This window comes from Homo sapiens, chromosome 9 (genome assembly GCF_000001405.40).
Source record: "Homo sapiens chromosome 9, GRCh38.p14 Primary Assembly".
NCBI classification, from domain to species: Eukaryota; Metazoa; Chordata; class Mammalia; order Primates; family Hominidae; genus Homo; species Homo sapiens.
This window is the reverse complement of record NC_000009.12, coordinates 118,664,818-118,685,377: the sequence shown is the minus strand read 5'-3', so window position 1 is coordinate 118,685,377 and position 20,560 is coordinate 118,664,818. Positions and strand designations below refer to the sequence as shown.

The 20,560-nt window shown below is 39.5% G+C and overlaps 2 long non-coding RNA genes across 2 annotated transcripts in view, besides 1 other annotated feature; one reads left to right on the top strand and one right to left on the bottom strand.

The window, feature by feature from the left end:
• The window catches only part of LINC02578 (long intergenic non-protein coding RNA 2578), a 65,642-nt gene extending 59,935 nt beyond the window's left edge, over nt 1–5,707 (bottom strand). Inside the window, exons 1-2 of the long non-coding RNA NR_151725.1 lie at nt 5,654–5,707; nt 2,133–2,251 (exon numbers count right to left, since the gene is read on the bottom strand). This is a non-coding gene — a long non-coding RNA (long intergenic non-protein coding RNA 2578). The remainder of the gene's footprint in view (nt 1–2,132; nt 2,252–5,653) is intronic.
• LOC102724929 (uncharacterized) overlaps nt 1–20,560 on the top strand; it is an 88,452-nt gene that overhangs the window by 47,381 nt on the left and 20,511 nt on the right. The gene's annotated exons all lie outside the window — the stretch shown is intronic.
• Nucleotides 14,781–15,527: an enhancer, noted in NCBI's record as "NANOG hESC enhancer chr9:121432129-121432875 (GRCh37/hg19 assembly coordinates)". NCBI's record gives its function as "activates a minimal SCP1, AML or CMV promoter by ChIP-STARR-seq in naive H9 embryonic stem cells {active_cell/tissue: H9 hESC(naive)}" and the evidence as "EXISTENCE:reporter gene assay evidence [ECO:0000049][PMID:30033119]".

The window sequence follows — 20,560 nt, the reverse complement described above, 5'->3', positions numbered from 1 at the left end:
TTCTGTCTCACCAACCAGGCTGGCTATGTCTGCCTTTTGTATGGCTAGCTCCTAATGCATTGTCTCTTACATAGTAGATTTCCAATTATTGTTAAATGAATGAATAGCCATCTATTATGATGACTATTAACTTAAAACATTAAATAACAAATGTTGGTGAGGATGTGGAGAAATTATAACCCTTGTTACAATCTCACATTGCTGGTGAGATCGCAAAATGGTGAAGGCACTGTGGAAAACAGTGTGGTGTTTCCTCAAAAAAATAATAAAGGTAGAATTACCACTTGAATTACCACGAAAGAAGTAATTTTACTTGTGAGTATATACCCAAAAACATTGCAGGCAGGCACCTGAAACAAATATTTCTACACTTATGCTCATAGCAGCATCATTTACAACAGTCAAAAGATGAAAGCAACCCAGTGTCCATAGATGGATGAAGATGAATGAATAAACAAAATATGATATATACATACAAGGGAATATTATTCATTCTTAAAAAGGAAAGAAATTCTGACACATGCTACATCATGACGAACCTTGAAAATGTTATGCTAAGTGAAATAATCCAGGCACAAAGGGGCGAATACTGTCTGTTTGCATTTGAATGTAGTACTTAGAATAGTCAAATTCATAAAGACAGAAAGTAGAATAGGGGTTCATAGGGGTGGAGGGGAGGAGGAAATGGGAGGTTATTGTTTAATGGGTATAGAGTGTCAGTTTGGGAAAATTAAAAAAGTTGTAGAGATAAATGGTGGTGATGTTTGCACAATGACAAAAATATATTATACTTAATGCCACTGGCCTATAAATTTAAAATGGTTACAATGGTAAGTTTTATGTTATATATATTATCACAACAAAAAATAAAAGCTACCCCAAGCACCTCCCCCAGAAAATAAGTGAATGAGTCCTTTCTATGTATCCTGAAATGTCTGAATCAATCATTTTTGAATAATTAACTGAAACTTAATGCATCTATATGCTGGTCACTGTCCTCAGCACTATGCAAATATTAATTCATTTAATCTTCATAACACCTTATGCTGTAGGTAATATTATCATACCAATTTTATAGATGTATATACTGAAACATAGAGGCAAAGCAATTTTCTTAAAGCTAACAGTTCATATGAGGCAGAACGGGGTTAGAACAGGGGCAGTCTGGCTCTCCAGTCTGGACTGTTAACTCTCATAGGTCAGATCATGTTAACCACTGCCATACTCACCATATTCAGGGATCCAGGTTATGGGCACAGCAATGTTCATACTACTTAGTTTTCCACGAGGGTACTTAAATCAGCCCCATACAGGCTTTGTTTCTATAATATTCTTCCATGTTCCTTACTCCAGGAAAAAGACCTCCCACCTATATTTTTAACATTTTCTGAAGTTTCTTGCTTAAGTGATGTTCTCCACATTATTTTTCCTGATTAACTGTTTCTATGTAAAAGCTATCCTGTAACTTTTAGTACTGCAAAACTGCCAACTGGCTTTTCTCACAATTTTGTGTGTCAGAAATTTTGAAGGGCTTGGATAGGCAGCTTTTCCCTGATGCATGTGATACCCACTGGGGACAGCTTAGGGTGGAGGATGCACTTCCAAGATGAGGGCTTCTTCTTCTTCTTCTTTTTTTTTTTTTTTACTATCATTTTCTTTATTTTTTGAGATGGGGTCTCACTCTGTCGCCCAGGCTGGAGTGCAACTCCGCTCACTGCAAGCTTCTCCTCCCGGGTTCACGCCATTCTCCTGCCTCAGCCTCCCAACTAGCTGGAACTACAGGTGCCAGCCACCATGCCCAGCTAATTTTTTTGTATTTTTTTGGTAGAGACGGGGTTTCACTGTGTTAGCCGGGATCGTCTTGATCTCCTAACTTCGTGATCTGCCCACCTCGGCCTCCCAAAGTGCTGGGATTACAGGCGTGAGCCACCGTGCCCGTCCGAGGGCTTTTGAACTCACAGGTTGGCACCTCAGTGCTTCTTGTCCTCCCTCCCCTTCCCTGCCCTCCCCTCCCCTTCGTTTCTCTCCTGTTCCCTCTGCTTTTAACCTTTTTCTCCTCTTGTTCTTCTTCCTCCTCCTCATCCTTCTTTGTCTCCCTCTCTCTCTTTCTCTCCCTTCATATGACTTCTTACCATTCTAGTATACGGTGACTTCACTTGCTTGGGCTTCTTAACAGCATGGTGGGTGGTCTCAGGGCAGTGGCATTTTTTACATGGTGACTGGATTCCAAGACAGGGATAGCAGAAGTTGCCTAAAGAGTTAAAAGATTTGTTTAGAACTGGCACAACATCATTTCCAACATATTCTATTAGTCAAAACAATCACAAGACCAACCCATATTCAAGGGGTTCAAGAGAGAGGCTTCACCTTTTGATGGAGTAATGGCAGTTTCCATTGCAGAAGAGCGTGTGGAATGAGAGGTGTCATTGTGGCCACCTTTGTACAATATTTCACTATCTGTAGTTACACTGTATCTTTATCTCTATCTCTATATTTATATCTATATCTAGTTGGAATCAGATACAAAACTTGATAGCTAGATAGAGTAATATAGATATAGGTAGCTGTATCCATCTATAGGTGAGTTTGTATGTGTATTTATTAGATAATACTTCATCCCAGTCAGTTGTATATGTAGCAGAATCCCAATTTTAATTAAAGATAAAGATAGTATGCATTGACTCAACATCCAAAGTGAAGAAGAGGCAGGGAGAGATCTTGCTCATTTTAATCATAACTGAGTCAGGCAATCAGATACCTTGGAACACTGTCTTTTCTTACCTAAGTTTCTTTTCTACCTACATTTACTTGTGTATGTTGGCTTCAGAATTTCTCTAGAACTGGGAAGAAACATAAAACAATTATAAATACATAGCAGAAGCCTGAAGAGAGATACCAGAGATGAAGATGACTGTCCAAGGATCATCTACATAGAGACTGACCATTTTTTGCAGATGTGAAATGAATGAGGTCTTTAAAAAAGATAACAGCCCAAGTAAGGAGAAAAGACATTTAGATCACAGGGAAGTCTTGATTTTCAGGATGAAAACTTTTATATTATAATGTATGTATGAGTGTGTATGCGTGTCTGTCTGGCCAGGGAAAGATTTCATAGACCCTCGACTAGAGTAAGTTACTAGTAGTAACTGGTAGTAAACACACTCTCTGCCTCACCTATTTCAAACTGAAGTTGTAACCTTAAGAAAGAAATGAGATAACACATTGCTTATTGGGAAAAGACTGCAGTTGAACTTAGCAGACATGTTTCTGGTTCTCCATTTTCAGCTGATGGAAATGGGTACCTGAGGCAAGTTTTCTAAGTCTTTGGAGGTTGTTTCTTAAAGTTATAAGATGAGAAACCTGGGTTATATGAGTATTGGAGGCTCTTCTAATTCTAAAAGATTGTGACTCTATAAAAATGCTTTTGCGAAGTATATAAAATTACACAAAACAGGATTTTATGACTTTTAAAGGTTGATTTATTCACAGTGCCTGTCTACATTGATCAGTTTGCCCATATAAATGTCAACCATTTCATTTTATTTGCACTGATGGACCTAACCAAGGTTATGAGTACATTCTGACCATATCCACAAGGCCACAGCCAAATGGAAATTCCTGGTAAACATCATCAAAGGGGGAACTACAGATAAGCTTTTCTTCATGCAGCTGCTGTGGTTGTGGCAAGCTTTTGGTAAGTGAAAGTTTTATAAATTTAGTTGCTTCTTAATTACACTAGAAAAACTGTTATTTAAAAAAACTCCATGGTGACTCACATATATATGTGTTTCTATATATACATATACACATACATATGTAAATATACACACACACACATACATAAAGTGCCTTTGTAATATGAATCCTAATGGCTTAATTAATGTTTTGCAAATTATAATTTGGGTATGTACAGTGTTCTTAATACTCAGTCTACCCATATTGCATAGTCAAATACTTCTATGATATTTCCTCTATAGAACGAATTGATACGCAGGCTGATATCTTCCAAACTGATCAGCCAGACATATTTTTCAAGTGGAATTTTATCTCAGCTGTCCAAGTCAATGTTTCCACTGCTCAAATTCATCAGATAATTGCCACCATATCAGTTTGACTTTGACAGCCAGTCCATTTTCTACTGCTTTTCACTGCTTCTTTCTAGTCAGTCATGTTATCAGTTTCTGTCTGACTCACTTATTCTTCAATAATTTCTTTTCTTTTAGCTAAATGTATGTGTGCATGTTTTGTTGACTGTAAATAAATTCATTCTTGCTACAAAAGAATTTAAATAGCACCACCATTTATAACGTAAGATATAAATGATTTCACTCTCTTACACTTCAAGCCTCTAAGATGACCACTGTTCATAGTTTGGCATATATTTCTTTCAACTTTTCAAATTTTAGTTTAAAATTTGATAAATTATATTCATCTGTTAAGAAAGCACATATAGAACCACATTCCACATTATTTCCTGAATTTGTGTCATAGCCTATAGGATTATTTTCAAATCATTTATGAAATTGACACCTCGATTTTAGATATATTAGCTGCTTTTATTTTCTATTTCAATATTGTATTGAACATATTCACCCCACCTACTAATTGTTTACTTAATGTAAATTCTTAAAATTAAAATTCTTAATTTAAGTCATGTGGACATTTTTTTTTTAGGAAATTACAGTCAGAACAAAAGTGCATAAGGATGCTTGTTTAACCATATTCTTGCTAAAACTAGACTTAGGAATCTTTTGAAATATGTTTTTCTTTCTTTCCTTCTTTAATTAGTATTGGTAGGCATCTTTTCATATTTTTCTGGTTATTTATAGTTTACTTTTGATAACTATGTAATGCCTTTAGGTTTTCTTATTCTGATGCATTTTAACTTTCAACATAAAGTTTTTCCAAACAATTTAAAAGTGTTGAGGTTAAGTCTTTTGAACAGACCTCATAATGAAAAAAATTCATGCCCAGTGTAAGTTTTACTCACTTATCCAAACTTACTCCCTGCTTTTCCTCACTATTCCAGCTTAAACATTCCTTCCCATCTTTCTCATACACTGTGCTCATCATAACTATTGGATAATTACTTATTTATCCTTCAAAAGCTCATCTGCCCCATAAAGCTTTTCTGTCTCCAGTTCAAGCTCTTCCCCCATCAGTGCCTCTCATAGCTGACACCTTTAGAATCCAATTTTGTGACACCTTGCATTTCCTTCTCTTGTTGCCTTCAAAAGCAAATAATTCCTTCTGGTCCAGAATAAAATTCAGTTCATTTGAATATTATTTCAAATCATACAATGGATTTAGAAAATCTCAAGGAATCAATAAGTATTGGTAGAATGGTTTATCCATTTCTAATATTTTGCCTTTACCATAAGCCCTCAAATGCTAATTCTTCTTGTCACTCCAGTTTTGAGCTATTGTGCTAGCTATTAGATACTAGCATGCTTCTATCTGGTTCCCTTTCATCTGCTAATGGATTGCATACTCTCAGCTCCTGAGAGTGAATACATAACGTGGGTCTATGCAAAACAAATAAACAAGTGCATAAATGAAGAATGAATGAATAATCTATTTTCCTGACCACCATAATTATTTTGGAAATAGATACATGAATCAGCCTTATCATGCTTCCCTGGGACTTTTCTACCTGGAAATACTGCTCCTTTCCTTGGAAGTCATGGTAATACAAAAATGTCAACAGGGCTGGCAGTAGCATTCTTCAGAACACTATGAATGTAACCCATTTAAAGATATAGAAGAGCCAATATATAGACAGAGAAAGAACAGGTGTGAGGAGGAGTCTAATGGACAAATCATTTGAGCTCTGAATCAGGGCATGCCTGCTCTCTGTATTTCTTCTGTATCTCCCATATATGAGAATCTCAAGAACTGACTTTAATATCTTTGGGTTCCTCTACATATTATGGAACTATTCCTAATAAAAACTATTAGTCCCTTAAACTTCCCTGCCAATCTGGAATGTTCCCTTTGGATTTTCCTTCTTAATTTACCAATTTCTGAATCCTAGATTAAGATTCTTACCCTTAGTATAATACCTTCCTTAAGCCTGCCACTAAATGCTTGTCTAAATGCTTGGGGGATTTCCTGTGAAATATTTTTCATTTGACTGAAGGAGTGGTTGGAATAGAAGACAAAATAGAAGAGAAAGAAAAGTTTGGGGTGGTAAGAGAAGGTCTTATTGAAAAGTAACAGTTGCCTCCCTCTCCCTCTCCCTCTCCATCTCCCTCTCCCTCTCCCTCTCCACGGTCTCCCTCTCCCTCTCCACGGTCTCCCTCTCCCTCTCCCTCTCCACGGTCTCCCTCTCCCTCTCTCTCCACGGTCTCCCTCTGATGCCCAGCCGAGGCTGGACTGTACTGCCGCCATCTCGGCTCACTGCAACCTCCCTGCCTGATTCTCCTGCCTCAGCCTGCCGAGTGCCTGGGATTACAGGCGCGCGCCGCCACGCCTGACTGGTTTCTGTATTTTTTGGTGGAGAAGGGGTTTCGCCGTGTTGGCCAGGCTGGTCTCCAGCTCCTGACCGCGAGTGACCTGCCCGCCTCGGCCTCCCGAGGTGCCGGGATTGCAGACGGAGTCTCGCTCACTCAGTGCTCAATGTTGCCCAGGCTGGAGTGCAGTGGCGTGATCTCGGCTGGCTACAACCTCCACCTCCCAGCCGCCTGCCTTGGCCTCCCAAAGTGCCGAGATTGCAGCCTCTGCCCGGCCGCCACCCCGTCTGGGAAGTGAGGAGCGTCTCTGCCTGGCCGCCCATCGTCTGGGATGTGAGGAGCCCCTCTGCCAGGCCGCCCAGTCTGAGATATGAAGAGCACCTCTGCCCGGCCGTGACCCCGTCTGGGAACTGAGGAGTGTCTCTGCCTGGCCGCCCATCGTCTGGGATGTGAGGAGCCCCTCTGCCCAGCTGCCCAGTCTGGGAAGTGAGGAGCGCCTCTTCCCGGCTGCCATCCCGTCTGGGAAGTGAGGAGCGTCTCTGCCCGGCCGCCCATCGTCTGAGATGTGGGGAGCGCCTCTGCCCGGCCGCAACCCCGTCTGGGAACTGAGGAGTGTCTCTGCCCAACCGCCACCCCGTCTGGGAGGTGAGGAGCATCTCTGCCTGGCCACCCTGTCTGAGAAGTGAGGAGCCCCTCCGCCCGGCAGCCGCCCCATCTGGGAAGTGAGGAGCCCCTCCGACCGGCAGCCGCCCTGTCCAGGAGGTGGGGGGCATCCCCCGCCCGGCCAGCCACCCCATCCGGGAGGGAGGTGGGGGGCATCCCCCGCCCGGCCAGCTGCCCCGTCCGGGAGGAAGGTGGGGGGCAGCCCACGCCCGGCCAGCTGCCCCATCCAGGAGGGAGGTGGGGGGTCAGCCCCCGCCCAGCCTGCCGCCCAGTCCGGGAGGGAGGTTGGGGGCAGCCCCCGCCCGGCAGCTGCCCCGTCCGGGAGGTGGGGGGCGCCTCTGCCCGGCTGCCCCGTCTGGGAAGTGAGGAGCCCCTCTGCCCGGCCGCCACTCCATCTGGGAGGTGTGCCCAACAGCTCATTGAGAACGGGCCATGATGATGATGGCGGTTTTGTCGAATAGAAAGGGGGGAAATGTGGGGAAAAGAAAGAGAAATCAGATTGTTGCGGTGTCTGTGTAGAAAGAAGTAGACATAGGAGACTCCATTTTGTTCTGTTCTAAGAAAAATTCTTCTGCCTTGGGATGCTGTTAATCTATAACCTTACCCCCAACCCCGTGCTCTCTGAAACATGTGCTGTGTCCACTCAGGGTTAAATGGATTAAGGGCGGTGCAAGATGTGCTTTGTTAAACAGATGCTTGAAGGCAGCATGCTGGTTAAGAGTCATCACCACTCCCTAATCTCAAGTACCCAGGGACACAAACACTGCGGAAGGCCGCAGGGTCCTCTGCCTAGGAAAACCAGAGACCCTTGTTCACATGTTTATCTGCTGACCTTCCCTCCACTATTGTCGTATGACCCTGCCAAATCCCTCTCTCCGAGAAACACCCAAGAATGATCAATAAATACTAAAAAAAAAAAAAAAAAAAAAAAGAAAAGTAACAGCTAAGAAAAAAAAAAAAAGAAAAGTTTGCAGAATGTGCAAAGAAAAAAAGAAAAGGAAGGGTCACAAAATTGTAGCACATTTGTTCTTGGATAATTATGTGCACATTTCATAGTGATGAACAGTATATCACGACAAAAATAACTGCATATAAAACATTTTAACAAAACAGGCACAGTGTTGCATACATACTGTAATTACAATATAAAATAATAGGTATTAAGAGTAACAGAGAAGAAAAAAATAACTTTGCTTTTAGTGTGGTAAAATTATAGGTGAGATTTTTTCTCTGCAAGTATTTACATTAATTTTACAGTTTAAATAAAATTTTTTTCCTCTATTTTCCCAATTTTCTACAATGTGTTCATGGTGTGTGTGGTGGGGGCTGAGAAGTGTGGGATGAGAGAAAAACATGTGGACCCAATAATCTCAGCTCCATTACTTCTGTATGGGATCTCGTCAAGATGCTAACATCTTTAGTCTTAATCTCACCTTCCGTAAAACGATGAAAAAACTGACAGGTTCCAATGCAAAAGCCTACTTTTTAAAATGTAAATTACATATCTTAAGTGTTGGCTTATTAAACTTCTAAGGCTATTCTTTACTTCCCCAAAGAACGTATCTGCTTCCATTTTCTTGATGCACATAAAACACTCATTCTACCACCACCAAGATTTTATTAGAGCCACATTTTTTTTTTCTGCTTCAAAAATGTCAGCAGGACAAATATATTGAATTCTGATTCCTTAAATTGGTCTCCTGTGTTGAGGAGACAATATAGAATAGTTGAGATATGGTGAACTGAAGCATGTATATTTGGCTAAAGAATAAAGCAACTATTTATCTCCAGAAAAAATGTATCAAGTCCCATTACAATAAAGAAACAAACTGTATACGTCTTAGAAATATACATTTTTAAAAATAAATCCACTCCTTGAGCCATGAATATGCAATCTCAGAGCTACATGAGATGTAATGGATCTTTCAGTTCTGTGGTTGATTAGAATTTAATTAGTTATTATGTCTTTGAGGTCTAATAGAAGGACATGTTCATTGAATACAGTTTGTTTTTGTTACCCAGCATTCATTTACTCTTCTTTTGCAAAAATCTCAGATTTTATTTGAAGAGTGGCATCTTTCCTCCACTCTCAATCTATATATTCTGTTGGAGTTGAGTCCATCTGTAGCTCTAAGGGGAGCTTAAGGAAATAAAATGCTGCATACTGCTAATAAGATTGTTTCAGGGATAGATATGTTGCTACGTCAAGCTAATCAGAGACAAAGGACTAAATTCTGGGATATATTTTAAGCTATCAGAAAAGCAGACTCACTCTTTTTTTTTTTCTGTTAGATAGGATTTAAAAAAGAGGTAACCCCAGAAGATACTAGAAGCAATATTAGAACCATGGGAAAACAAAATTCTAAGAAAATAGAGGCAAAATGGAGAAAAATACATGATTGGGAAGGAAATGATGAATTCTCATCATATCATTTGTGCCCCTATATCCAGCATTGTCAGAAACTAGTAACCTTGATTTTTCAAACATGGGATCCATTAAACATTTTTAACCTATGTTAAGCTAATTTGCATCTGGGTTTCTGTTAATGGAAACCAAAACACCAAGCTGTTACACAGAGGGAATGATTGGGGTGGAATGAGAAACATCTTTAGTCCTGAATATCATTATTTTAAGAAGGAAGAAAGGAAAAGAAAAGAGAAAGGAAGAAAGGAAGGGAAAGAAAGAAAGAAGAGAGAGAAAGAGAGAGAGAAAGAAAGAGAAAGAAAGGAGAGAGAGAGAGAAAGAAAGAGAGAAAGAGAGGAAGAGAGAGAGGAAGAGAGAAAGAGGAGAGAAAGAGAGGGAAGGAAGGAAGGAAGGAAAAAGAAAGAAAGCAACCCCGTGATAGCATGTGTCCGCACCCTCTAAGATGTTGAACGTTTCACTGAAGCATGGCTGGGCATAATGTCACCATGTCCCAGCACAATTTCTAGATGTTGCTCTTTTGAATAAACATCATCAGCACCTTCTCTTTTTACAGTGGAAAAAGAAATGTTATTTTGCTTTCATCCCTGTTGCCATATTCCCCTGCGGAACCACTTCAATTTAGTGGAGTAGAAAGGGACCCAGCGGTTTGCGTCTACTGTTATGAATGTGGTACTTGAAATGCCAGAGTCAATGACATGAGACGCAGGGCTTCATTACTTCTCAGCTCACCCAGACTCAGGCTTCCCAGGACCCAGAGATAGTTTGCTGCCAGAAAGATACGTTTGAATTTCAATGTGTCAAGTCTTTCTTCCTGTACTTTCTATGTTGCAAGCTGCAAATGGCTTTTAAAATCTTGAACATTGCAGTGACTCAGCTCTCTGCCTTTTACCTCTGCCTAGTACTAAATTGGATATATTTATTTCCAAGTTGCTATAATAAATAAAGAAATACGTAGTCTAGGGAAGAGCATGAGTCTACAATCACAAAACATCCAATACATAAGAACATTTCATCTAGACAGTTCACACTTTAGAGGAGGAAACATGGAGAAGGTGAGGCACAGAGCACTTGGACTGTGAAGGCCAGTTCTGAGGCTCGGTTCTATCTTTTCCTAAATGAGTACATTTGATGAAATGGCTGAACCTTTCTCCAGCCTCAGTGTCATCATAAAAGAGGAATGATAATAATGCCTCTTTCACAAAATTGTGATAATATTTCATTATTGAGAGCTATTATTAATCATAACCAGTTTGCAGTGAAGAATTAGGACTAAGAAAGGGAAAATTTACCCATTCATTCAAGAAATATTAAAGGTGTGCCATAACAAAGGAAGGAAGGAAGGAAGGAAGGAAGGAAAGAAAAAAAGGAGGGAGGGAGGGAGGGAGGGAGAAAGGGAGGGAGAGGAGGGAAAAAAGAAAGAAAAGAGAATAAAGAAAAGAAAAGAAAGAAAAGTAAACATATAGCATCTAGAGCCAACCCAGTCATACCAGAATACAAGTTTTTGCCCTAGCCTTTAATAACTTTATGACCTAGGGCTTTATTTGTTCTGCCTCCCATTCCTTGCCTATAAGAGGACTTACCTCATTGGGTTATGGGGAAGACTTTATGAGATTAAAAGCAGTAAGTTGTCAGGGCGATAGCAGTCATGTAGTAAGTACCTAAACAAGTGTTAGCTGTTTTTATGTTTACTGATACTGTTGCTGTTTAGTAGCTGCTGCACTCTGCAATTATCTGAGGACGTGTTGCTAAACAACAGACATTAGAATGTGGCTGCTTTGAGTTGAGGTTTTGAATTTGTTTTGGACAACATGAATTTTCTACCCTAGCTCCAGGTCTCTGTGCAGATTACATCACCTCACTATGTCTTGGTTTTCTCATGTCTAAAATTGGAATATTAACAGCACAAAATTTATAGGGCAGATAGGAAGACTATAAAAATGTTATTTCATGTAATGCACTTAAGATAACTGATACATAATAAATAATACTCTATTATTCAGTCTATTATTAAGAATGGCTTTTTTCAAGGTCATATGGGAAATCAAAGGCATAAATGGGGAGTTTGCTCATATCATTATACGAAAAGCTGTTGACCGGCAAGCCTTCAAAAGCTTTCTGACTCCAAAATCCACATTCTTGCCCTTACACCATATTGTCTCTCTTTTTAAGTTGAGGAACATCAGAGCAAAGCCAAGGGCAATATTAGATTTATTTTACTATCATTTCAAACATAATCATTGTGGGGTGCCATATCACTTTTGAAATGTATATGTTTTTAAAAAGAAACAAAAATAGCTATGATAACCAACAACTGCTTGCAAAGTAGATTGTGCTAACCTCTCTACTCCCCATTTGCAAACATATTTGGATTACATCTGGAACAAAATCATTAGTGGCAGGAAGACAGATGTTCTTCAAAGTTCGGGTGTGCATATAGACATCGAATATTTATGTAGATGTTATTTACTCATTTGCTTCTTTACTGTTCCAAAAAGATGGATGTTGAGCTTTCTCAAGATTTATTTCTTCTTTCTTTGGTTCCCAAGGTGACAAATCAAAGTTCACCCCAGGAACTTTCAAAGTATATCATGGTGGGAGAAATCCGTCAGACGTGGAATAATATTAATAACTAACATTGTGCAGATGTCAATCAGCATAGAGTCTTTTCTCAGGAATAATTTAAAGATCTTCTTCAAACCAAAGCAGTATGTATATGGTAAAGAAAACACAGTGCATACTTCCATTAATAGATTGACTAATATAACAAATTTTACTCTAGAGTTTACTTTTAATTATAATTAATGGCAGGTGTGGTGGCTCATACCTGTAATCCCAGCACTTGGGTGGCCAAGGCAGGAAGATCCCTTGATGCCAGGAGTTCCAGATCCGCATGGGCAACAAGGCAAGCCCCTGTCTATACAAAAATTAAAATAAAAAAGGCCGGGAGTGGTGGCTCACGCCTGTAATCCCAGCACTTTGGGAGGCCGAGGCGGGTGGATCACGAGATCAGGAGATCAAAATCATCCTGGCTAACATGGTGAAACCCCGTCTCTACTAAAAAAGAAAAAATACAAAAATTAGCTGGGGGTGGTGGCAGGCACCTGTAATCCCAGCTACTTGGGAGGCTGAGGCAGGAGAATTGCTTGAACCCAGGAAGTGGAGGTTGCAGTGAGCCAAGATTGTGCCACTGCACTCCAGCCTGGCAAAAGAGTGACACTCCATCTCAAAAAAAAAAAAAAAAAAAAATTAGCTAGGCATGGTGACGTGCACCTGTAGTCCCAGCCACTTGGTAGGCTGAGGCAGGAGGATCCCTTGAGTTTCCTTGTGGCCTAGGAGTTCCAGGCTACAGTGAAACGTGATTGCTTCAGCTAACTCCAGCATGGGTGACAGAGCAAGATCCCATTTCTAATATATATATGCATCATATATCTCATATATATATATATATGTACACACGTATATATATATATACACACACACACACACATATATGTATATATATAGTATCAGGTTTATTTTGAAGGCACATACTTAAGGGAGGGAATGCATGCAATATGATTGCCTATGACTAAAAACGTACATAATGTGCTATGGATGATATAAACAAATAGGAAATTTGATGAGGGTAAGTGTAGAAGAATAGGAGGCTATGTCCTTGAGCTATACCTATTTAGAGTGCTATAAAATTCCTGCATTTATTTAATAGAGTATATTGGAATTTGTATCACCTTGAGATAGTTAACTACAGAAAGTGAAAAAAGATTGTATTCTCAAAAGGAACATAATACTTTAGCTATATTGCTTGGTAAAGCCCATTTTGAAGATACCATATGAATTTATTTGTGGACCCTAATCAATATGTGTAATCTCTAAGTCTTCTCTGCTTCTATAGAAAAGAACTAAATTCAAACTCACATAATAAAATGCTTTGGAATCCATGGAAAAAAGAAAGTGGTTAATGTCCAATAGAATGGCTATTATAGATAAAGTGTGTCCCTCCAGAGTTCACAGTCTTAACCCCCATTGTGATAGTATTAGGAGGCAGGGCTTCTGTGAGATCATGAGGGTGAAACCCCCATTAAAGGTAATAGGGCCCTTCTAATAAAGACCCCACAGAGCTCTCTTGCTCTCTTTCTGCTATGTGAGGGCACAAGGAGAAGAGGGCTGTCTGGAAATCAAAAAGAGGACTCTCACCAGGCACCAAATCTGCCAGCACCTGCATCTTGAAATTCCTACGCTCTATAACTTTGAGAAATAAATGCTTGTTGTTGAAGCCACCCCGTCTATGGTATTCTGTTATAGCAGCCTGAACTGATAAGACAGAAGCCAAATCCAAGTATTTATTTGTTTGTTTGTTTTTATTATGCATTACAGGTTTCCTTTGTATATTTTCTCATGCTGTCACTAAATGTAGAGTGTACTTTCCACCCATATCTGCCTGTCTAATGTATTCCAATTTTAAATTTAAGCTGCATTCCCAGCTTAAACTTCACTCCACAGAAAGCTTGCTCCAAATCACTTATTTGAGTTACAGCCTCCTTTATCTTTGTTTTCAAAGCACTTTGTCTATTCTTATATTTTAAGATTTTATAAATTGTATTTGGGTTTTTTGCTCACATCTTCCACAGTCATCTGTAACTTCCTCAAGAAAACAGGCTATGATTTATTCATCTTGCTCAGCATGTCACATGTCACATAGTAGATATTCAAGGAAACCTTGTTGAGATAAAGAATACATCTTTTTGTTTGTCTGTATGTTTAATCTCTGACATCATCTAGCCCAGTGCCCAACATATAAAAGGAACTAAATGACTGTTAGGTAAATATTGATATTTGACCAAAATCAATTTTGCTTGTTTCACAAACGTTATGATTGAAATAAACCTTTTTTTTTTTTTCCAGTTTATCATGATCCAAATCACAAAATTACCCATTTTGGACTTTTGGTTTTTGTCTTTGACTTTCTCACATCTACTTCCACGAGTCCTTTTGTTCCACCGAAACACTTGTTATTCATGGAAAACAATGTCCTACGGTGACTAATTATGTAATAAATGAGAATGACCCAACATGGTCTTTTTCACACGCACTCTAGTACCAAGTGTTTTCTCTTGTAATCCACTGCACTCAAAACACAAAATAATTGTATTAACTGGGGGCTGTTGAGGGTATTTTTTTTTATTTAAAAGAAATGTTAATTTGTTATTAAATCTCTTGTTGAAAGACTAATAGCTTAATGAATGCATTAAATGTGTACAAATTAGTTTTTTTTTCTGAATGCATTACTTAGTTTCAGATTGAAAGGGGGTGATACATCATCGTCATCTCTGCGGGAATTAATGAGGCATTAGGCCATCTCCTGTCATGGAGGCCAGACTTACGAACGATTCGCTGTATTGCACATGCAAGCCTTGTCCTATCCTCTCTCTCCACCCACCGCATACATCTTTTCTGGGCTTTCTGCTTCTGCAGCCTAAGCTTTGGTACTTGAAATACAAATGCCAGCTCACCATCAGTTTGGAAGTGAAAAGTAGTCTATTGCAAGTGACAAATGTTGTTTACCGTTACTGGAAAACAGGGTGGAACAATGAGTGCATATATTAACATCACAGGGGATGGGTTTGGTAGTCATTCAATTGCTATCTTGCCCTGTGAAGACACATAACCTCTCTCCATTTCCCTCAATCACCCACTCACTCTCAGACATCTACATTAAAATAAAGAGCCTAAGGCAAAGCAAGCTATCTTAACTATAATAAGTGACAAGGTGTTCTCCACTCAACAGCTTTTCTCACCAGCTCTCAATCTCTCCCCATCACAAGCACAGCTTTCTCTGCCTGCATCTTTTGATACATTTGCCTAATCCTGCAGTTCCCAAATCAGCAGTTCCAAACCTCCATGAACAAGCAGCATTTAAAAGCCTTCAGTTTAATTCAATGACATAAAGTATGTCTTACTTGCATTTATTTTTATAATTAGCAGGTATGACATTTAATTCTGTTTCAAGAATCTTTGAGAAATTTTCAGTGTATCTTGAGATAATTGAAGATGTCACGGCCTATTCAAAAATCAGAGGTGAAGATCACTGGTATAGACATTAGATTAAGCATAGTAATAACATCTGTGCAGGACATGGAAACATTATAACAATGTTCACCAATATTTCTTTTACACTAAAGAAACAATGTTTCATGCTGCAGGGCTTCTTTAAAAAGATTTGTTCTCCCTTGTATAAATACTGCCCACCCCATGGAACATCATTTTTCTTACCTGCCCAGCTAGAATCACAAAACTTCAGGCACCGATCTATGTCTCTCACTAGCCACCAAATTTGCCCGTTGTCTTCCATTCCTATTTTCAGTTCATACTTTACACTTAATGCAGGTTGGTCCCTATTTTATGACATAAATCCCATTCCAGCAATTCTCTCTCAGCAGCTTTGGGTAATTTGCCTTCAGCTTTGGTATAAGTTCATTCTCTTTTGCCATATTGGTCCTTAGAAGCAGATTTGGGATAAGTGTGTCCACGACCATTATCAATGACATAGTTAATATTGAGTAATCACACACTCTTTATCCAACTAATGGTTCTTTTTTAAAAATAGGAACATGCTTTATTAATTAACATTCTTTTTGTTGTAAGCAACAGAAACCTATTGCCTAGTCTATTAGATTAAAAGGAAACTAATTTATTAGAAGGAAAATGGGGTAGTTCAGAGCATGGAAAACTGGATGGAACAATCTTCAATCTTAGGAGTCAGGGCAGATCCCAGAACCTCAGCAACTTTAGCTCTTGGATCTTCTTTTAGAGCTCTGCCAATACTGTGACTACATTTCTGAGACGCGTAGAAAGCGTGTCTTCAGAATTTCACCTGCCAACCTCAGAATATGTATCTATAACTTGATCAGTAAAATTTAGCAAAGGGCCGGGCACGGTGGCTCATGCCTATAATCCCAGCACTGTGGGAGGATCACTTGAGGTCAGGATTTCAAGACCAGCCTGGCCAACATGGTGAAACTCTGTCTCTATTAAAAATACAAAAAAATTTGCCGGGTGTGGTGGTGGGTGCCTGTAATCCCAAATACTTGGGAGGCTGAGGCAGGAGAATCACCTGAACTCTGGAGGCGGAGGTTGCAGTGAGCAGAGATTGCACCATTGCACTCCAGTCTAAGCAACAGGAGCGAAATTCTGCCTAAAAAAATAAAATAAAATGTGGCCAAGGAAAGAGAGCATCGCTCAGTGGAGACAAAGATTTTGAGGCCTATTCAATTTGAATTGGGGACTTTGACAGAGAAAAGAGCAGTATACTGAATGCACCTATTTGAGAAGCATAAACCAAATCTTTCCTTTCAGTAGCCTTGGAAGTTCCACACTTCAGCTAACACACACATCCCTCTCCACCATCATGGATCCAATTTCTTAACCATTGCATTTAATGTATAAAAATAGCAGTGCCCAAATGAAGAAACTTTCTTACTCAAATTGGGAAACAAGAACTAATTGGACATGGAAAATCCTATTTCTTACTTTGTTATTCCTCCTCCCCCAATTAATATAAATAGAAAGATAGGCCTGGTGCGGTGGCTCACACCTGTAATCCCAGCACTTTGGGAGGCTGAGGTGGGCGGATCACCTGAGGTCAGGAGTTCGAGACCAGCCTGACCCACATGGAGAAACACCATCTGTACTAAAAATACAAAATTAGCCAGGCTTGGTGGCGCATGCCTATAATCCCAGCTACTTGGGAAGGCTGAGGCAGGAGAATCGCTTGAACCTGGGAGGCGGAGGTTTCGGTGAGCCGAGATTGCGCCACTGCACTCCAGCCTGGGCAACAAGAGCAAAACTCCGTCTCAAAAAAAAAAAGAAAAAAGAAAGAAAGAAAGAAAGAAAGAAAGAAAGAAAGAAATAAACACTAACATGTATGAGGTAATTGTCAAGGTATTGGATAAGGTCTTACATCTATGAAACTCTGAAAATCAACTGATATTCCTTTCAGAGTATCCTTTTAGAAAAATCAGCTGTCCTGGCCGGGCGCGGTGGCTCACGCCTGTAATCCCAGCACTTTGGGAGGCCGAGGCGGGCGGATCACGAGGTCAGGAGATCGAGACCATCCCGGCTAAAACGGTGAAACCCCGTCTCTACTAAAAATACAAAAAATTAGCCGGGCGTAGTGGCGGGCGCCTGTAGTCCCAGCTACTTGGGAGGCTGAGGCAGGAGAATGGCGTGAACCCGGGAGGCGGAGCTTGCAGTGAGCCGAGATCCCGCCACTGCACTCCAGCCTGGGCGACAGAGCGAGACTCCGTCTCAAAAAAAAAAAAAGAAAAATCAGCTGTCCTGCAAGTAATCAGAAAAGTATCTTCACTTGAATAGTAAATATTGTGAATTGAATAAAAATGTTTCTAATATGTAAATATTGCTTCCTCATGTTTCATTGATGTATTTTAGTGCTTCTCCTCTAATTATAAATGTAACATAGGCTGGGCTATGTAATTACTCATGTAATCCCAGCACTTTGGGAGGCTGATGGGGTGGGGGTGGGTGGGTCACCTGAGGTCAGGAGTTCAAGATCAGCCTGGCCAACATGGCGAAACCCCGTCTCTACTAAAAATACAAAAAATTAGCTGGACGTGGTGGCTCACGCCTGTAGTCCCAGCTACTTGGGAGGCTGAGGCAGGAGGATCACTTGAACCTGGGAGGTGGAGGTTGTAGTGAGCCGAGATCACGCCACTGCACTCCAGTGTGTGCAACAGAGTAAGACCTATCTCAAGGAAAAAAAAAATACAATGATACATACTGTTCTAAAACATGTATTTTTATTATTATACATTAATAATAATACATTGTTATGTATATTAGTCATAAATTAATTGGAATATTTAGAGGAGCAAAATCAATAAAACACCAACAATTCTATCACCCAGTGTTGACTTCTTTTAACAATGTGGTATACATTCTTTTAGATTTACTATAAAATGATTTTAATGTCTGCAGACCACTCCACTATATGGATGTATTTGAATCTACTTAATAATTTTTTCTCATTGAATATCTAGCTTATTTTCAATTTTCTTATCAGTAACACCATTGCAATGATTTGTTTTATGCAAATTCTGTACATATTCTTTTTCTAATAATTTTTTTCCAGTTTGAAAAAAGTGGAAATTTTTGTTCAGGATACATGGATTTTTAAGTCGCCTCTTAATACACATACCTGTATTTGTTTTCAAAGATTTTTCTGCATGTATTATCTCATTTAATTTTCTCAATTGTACTGTGAGGGAGGCAAGTGAGGTATCATTATCCTTTCTCACAAGTGGGAACACTGAGATTACAAGCGTTCTGCCCAGATCATGCAACACTTAAGTGACAAAGCCAGGCATCTATTTCAGGTCCTTCTTCTCCAATTATTTTTTAAACACAGATGTGCTGCTGTCAGAGTAAAGGTCCATTTCTAATCCTAAAAGAAAAACATGGCATAATAAGAGAGCTACGCTTATTGTCTACCTATTCTGTACCAGGCACTCTGTTAGACATTTTAGATACATGTTCTCATATAATCCTCACAGCAAACTTATGTGATTGGTTTTATTGTCTCCTTTACAGATTACAGAACAGAGGATTAGTAAGGTTAAGTAACTCCTTCAAGGACACAGATAAAAGGTGGAGCAAGGATTTCAACTCCAATTCTGAAATGCATGCTTTTTCTTAAGCTATGCTCCTTAATTATAAAATGCTAACCAAAATGGATTTTCTTCCATTAAAACCAATGTCTGAATGAGCTTTGCTGTCATTGAGTTTGAGAGAGTGAGAGAGAGGCAGAGAAAGAGAGAGAGAGAGAGAGAGAAAGGGAAGGAAACAGAGAGAGAGAGAGAGAGGTGAATATTGTAGAATAAAAGCAAGGTCAGGGAGAATTTTTTCAAGGTCGAGCACAGAATCAGCCAAGGTTGAAAAGGAAAACTCTAAGCCCCCCACATCCTCTGACTGCACTGGAGGCCGAAAGAGAAAAGGAAAGAGAGCTGGAGATAAACTGTATGAGGCACAGTACATGTTGTACTAATAAATGTTTAACAGCCAGAGTGGAGAGGGTAGTGATTTGTAGTGCTTACCAATCTCCTTGGTGTAAATACTCCCGCAAGGGCTGATTTCCATCTACCATCAAGCTTGTAACACCAAGAAGGGTGATTTTGTATAAACTTTCATGATTGGATTTTCATGAATGCAATTCTGTTGGGTCTCAGAGAGGCAATTCTTGGAATTTGACATTTGTTACAATGAAAAATTAATAAATAATGCTTGAATCTTTATTTCATAATTTATATCAGGAGATATGCTAAGCACTAGGGAAAGTGAGTTAAACCAGATATAGCTGTAACCTGAAAAAAAAAAATCTTGCAGGCTAGTAGTGAGAAGGACATGTAAACAATTTAATGTGATATATGAGTAATAAGAGAAGCATGGCCTCAAAATGGTGATGATATATTAGCATATTAAAATGATCAGCTCCACTCCAGAAGGCCATCTGATTCTTTTGCACTTTGGTCTATAAATTTGGCCCCATTGTGACATTGCACAATCTACAGTAATCAAGAAAAATACTGTAAATAGCCGGCATTGAGTAAGTGATCTGCACAAAGATGTCTTACGTCTCAAGCAATGGGGTTCCCTTCGGTCTCCCCACTTCTACTGACAAACATGCAATGTAATGACATTCTCAGTGGCTCTTCCAACTGTATTACACTTGTAGATAAAGACTGAAACTATTTTTAGATACTTAAAAAATTACCAAGAGAGGCACTTTCATCATTTATTAATATGCAGGCTCTTTATTTTTATTTATTAATGAAGTTTAGAAAATGTTTCTTGTACAGCATCAAGTGGCTTTCTTATAAAAATAAAATAGGACTAATACAGGCTCCAACAGTCTTTTCCAATCTAGTGTTCACCTTTGTAATATACAGCTCTTCTCCTGAGAATCACAAAATACAATTACTGTTTTGATGCTTCTGAGCACCAGCAAAGG